At 37.7% G+C, this 3,398-nt stretch overlaps 2 annotated features.

Annotated features, from left to right (window-relative positions):
* Positions 353 to 852: an enhancer, noted in NCBI's record as "H3K27ac hESC enhancer chr7:119067993-119068492 (GRCh37/hg19 assembly coordinates)". NCBI's record gives its function as "activates a minimal SCP1, AML or CMV promoter by ChIP-STARR-seq in primed H9 embryonic stem cells {active_cell/tissue: H9 hESC(primed)}" and the evidence as "EXISTENCE:reporter gene assay evidence [ECO:0000049][PMID:30033119]".
* Positions 853 to 1,354: an enhancer, noted in NCBI's record as "H3K27ac hESC enhancer chr7:119067491-119067992 (GRCh37/hg19 assembly coordinates)". NCBI's record gives its function as "activates a minimal SCP1, AML or CMV promoter by ChIP-STARR-seq in primed H9 embryonic stem cells {active_cell/tissue: H9 hESC(primed)}" and the evidence as "EXISTENCE:reporter gene assay evidence [ECO:0000049][PMID:30033119]".

Raw genomic sequence — 3,398 nt, 5'->3', positions numbered from 1 at the left:
CAGTATTAGGGATTCACTTAGAGAAGAAGTTTGGCTGCTTTTTTGGTAGAGTAGCTCTACTGTGTTGGGGATCTCTTCTGCCCCCAATCTGTTTGGGCTCTCCAAGGCCCACAGGCTTGACTGGATGAGAAGCCAGAGCAGCCAAGTGGCAGCCTGCCCCACGCCCCAGGCAATCCAACCCAGGGAGAATGTAGAGCTCTGTAGGCCATAGAATATTGAAAAGGGTGACTTGAAGCCCTTGCTGGGAGAACCTGCCCCATGAGAAGTAGTGAATCTGTGTCTCACTTAAAGAAACAGTCTGGCCAGACCTTGATAAGACAACAATGTTGTTCTGAATAACCACCTTTGCCCCATCAGCTAGGAGTCCCCAAAATCCACAGATTGGAATGGCTAAGTCATTCAATCAGCCAAGGCGGTGGTGCTTCCCTCTCCTGGGCACTGCATCCCAGGGAGAGATCAGAGCTCTATCTGTAGAATACGTGTAGAATACTTCCTGGAGGGCCCTCCCGGAAGTTTTCACCCAGTGAGGAGGAATGGATCAGGGTCCCACTTAAAGAAGCAGTCTGGCCATGACCTGGCAAAGCAGATGTGCTGCTCTGGAGGAACCCTTCCTAATCCGAATCACTTGGAGTCTCCAAAGCCCACAGTCTGGAATGTCTGAGTAAACCAAACAGAGGAGATGGTGGTCTGACCCCCAACCCAGGGGTTCCATCCAATCTCAGGCAGGCTCCAACCTGTTGCTGGTGGATGGTTGGAATTCCAAGCCAGTAGCTCTTATATTGTCAGGTGCTGTGCAAGTGGGGCTCTCAGAACCATGCTGCTTCGCTTCCTGTATTCAGCCTCCTTCCTACTGGTATGTGTGGACCTCTCACCTTGCCTGAGTTGCAGACATGTTTGTTGGGGATCCCTAGGCCAAAGGATGTAAAGCTCCTGGGTTTCTATGTGTGCCTAAGCAGCAGCTCTGCCAAAACTCTACACAACTCTGTGTGTTGGACCTAAGGCCCTGGTGGCATGGACTAACAAGGGGATCTCCTGATCCATAGGTGCAAAGATCTGCAGGAGAAGCATGGTTACCGGAGGCCAACACAATCACTCACCGCTTCCCTTGGCTGGGGTTTGGGGTTCCCTTGGCTCCAGGTGGCTCCCCGGTGGGCCATCACCCCATTCAACTTTTCTTCAATCTCTGTGGGTTCAGTTGTTTTCCTGATCAGTCCCAATGTAAGTACCAAGATACTTCAGTTGCAGATGCTGTATTAACTCACCCCTTTCGTTCCTCTTCATGAGTGCTACAGACCACAGCTACTTCTAATCAGCCATCTTCACCCCCTCAGCTATATTTATATCAGATTAAAAATACTTTAAGTTTAAAACTTAAAGAGAAAAAATATATGATGATATGAGAGTGAATTCATCAAGAGAGTATATCACTTCTAAGTATGTATGTACCCAACATTGGAACACATAAATATATAAAGTAAACATTAACAGATAAGAAGGAAGAGCTAGAGTATAATGCAATAATAGTAGAGGATTCAATAACCCACTTTCAGCAATAGACAGATTGTCCAGTCAGAAAATGATTGAGAAAACATTAAACTTAAACTACACTTGATACCATTAGAACCTAAAAGACATATACAGAATATCCCCACCGATAGCAGCAGAGTACATATTCTCCTCAAATGCACATGGAATATTCTCCAGGTTAGATCACCTGTTAGGCTGCAAAACATGTCTAAACAGATTTTTTAAAATAGAAATCATATCAAGTATTGTTTCCAACAACAATGGAACTACTAATTAATACGAGGATGAATTTTGGAAAATTCACAAATACATGGAAATTTTAAAAACATGCTCCTGAACAACCAATAGGTAAGAAGAAATTAAAAGGGAAATTTAAAAATATCTTCAGACACACAAACATAAACACACAACATGCCAAATCTTAAGGGATGCAGCAAAAGCGGTTCTAACAGGAAAGTTTACAGTAGTAAGAATGTACTTCAAAAAAGATTTCACTTAAATAGCCTAATATTACATTCATCAGAAATTTAGTATAAGAAAGGAAATAATAAAGATCTGAGCAGAAATAAATGACACAGAAATTTAAAAAAAACAGAAAAGATCAATGTCACTGAGTTTATTTTTAAGATAAATAAAGTCTACAAACCTTTATCTGGACTGGAAAAAAAAGGAAAATCAAATTTAGAAATCAGAAATGAAAGGAAAAACATTACAACCAATACCACAGTAATAAAAAGGAACATAAGAGATTATTATGAGTACTTATATGCCACAAATTGGACAACCTTGAAGAAATGCATAAGTTCTTATAGAAATACAACTTACCAAGATTTAATTTTGAAGAAAGAGAAAATCTGAACATATCAATAATTGCGAGTAAAAAGATTGAATTCGTAATAAAAAGTCACCCATCAAAGAAATGCCTAGGGTGTGATGGCTCTCTCTATATACAAATCACTAAATGTAATACACTACATTAAGGGAATGAGTAACAAAACCACATAATTATCAGAATAGATACAATAAAAGCATTTGATAAAATTCAACATATCTTCATGATAACAATTCCAAACAAATTAGGTATAAAAGGAAAATACCTCAACATAAAAAGGCTATATATGCTAAACTCATAGATAATATTATTACACTCAATGGGGAAAAGTTGAAAGCTTTTCCTCTAAGATCAGGCACAAAACATAAAAGTGGACTTCCCATACTTCTAGTCAACTGGGTACTGCAAGTCCTATTTAGAACAATTAGGACAGAAAAAGCAAGTAAAATGTATGCAATTGGGAAAGCAGTTCAATTGTCCCTAATTGTAGATGACAGGATCTTATATGTAGAAAGCCCTTATGACTAAACAATAAAACTGTTAAAAACAGTAAGCAAATTTAGAATAGTTGCAGGATTCAAAATCAACATATAAAAATCAGTAGCACTTATATATACTAACAGCAAATTATCTGAAAAAAAAATCAAGAAAAAAATCCCATTTACAATTGCTAAAAAATATAAAATAAAAAAGAATAAATTTAACAAAGAGGTAAAAAAAAAACCTGTACTCTAAACTCCATCAATTATTAGTAAAGGAAATTGAAAAAAATATATAAATAAATGGGTAAATATCAGTTCTCCTGGAGGGGAAGAATTAATATTGCTAAAATGTCCATACCACTTAAAGTCATCTATAGATTTATTACAATCTCTATTGATACTCCAATGACATTATTTCAAAAATAAAAAATACAATCCTAAAATTTGTGTGAAACCACAAAAGATCTAGAATAGCCAAAACAGTCTAGAAAATAAGAACTGATGCCAGTTCTTCTTTGTGGGTTTGGTAGAATTCAGCTGTAAATTTATCCGGTTCT

This window comes from Homo sapiens, chromosome 7 (assembly GCF_000001405.40).
Source record: "Homo sapiens chromosome 7, GRCh38.p14 Primary Assembly".
NCBI classification, from domain to species: Eukaryota; Metazoa; Chordata; class Mammalia; order Primates; family Hominidae; genus Homo; species Homo sapiens.
This window is presented reverse-complemented; position numbering and strand designations above follow the sequence as displayed.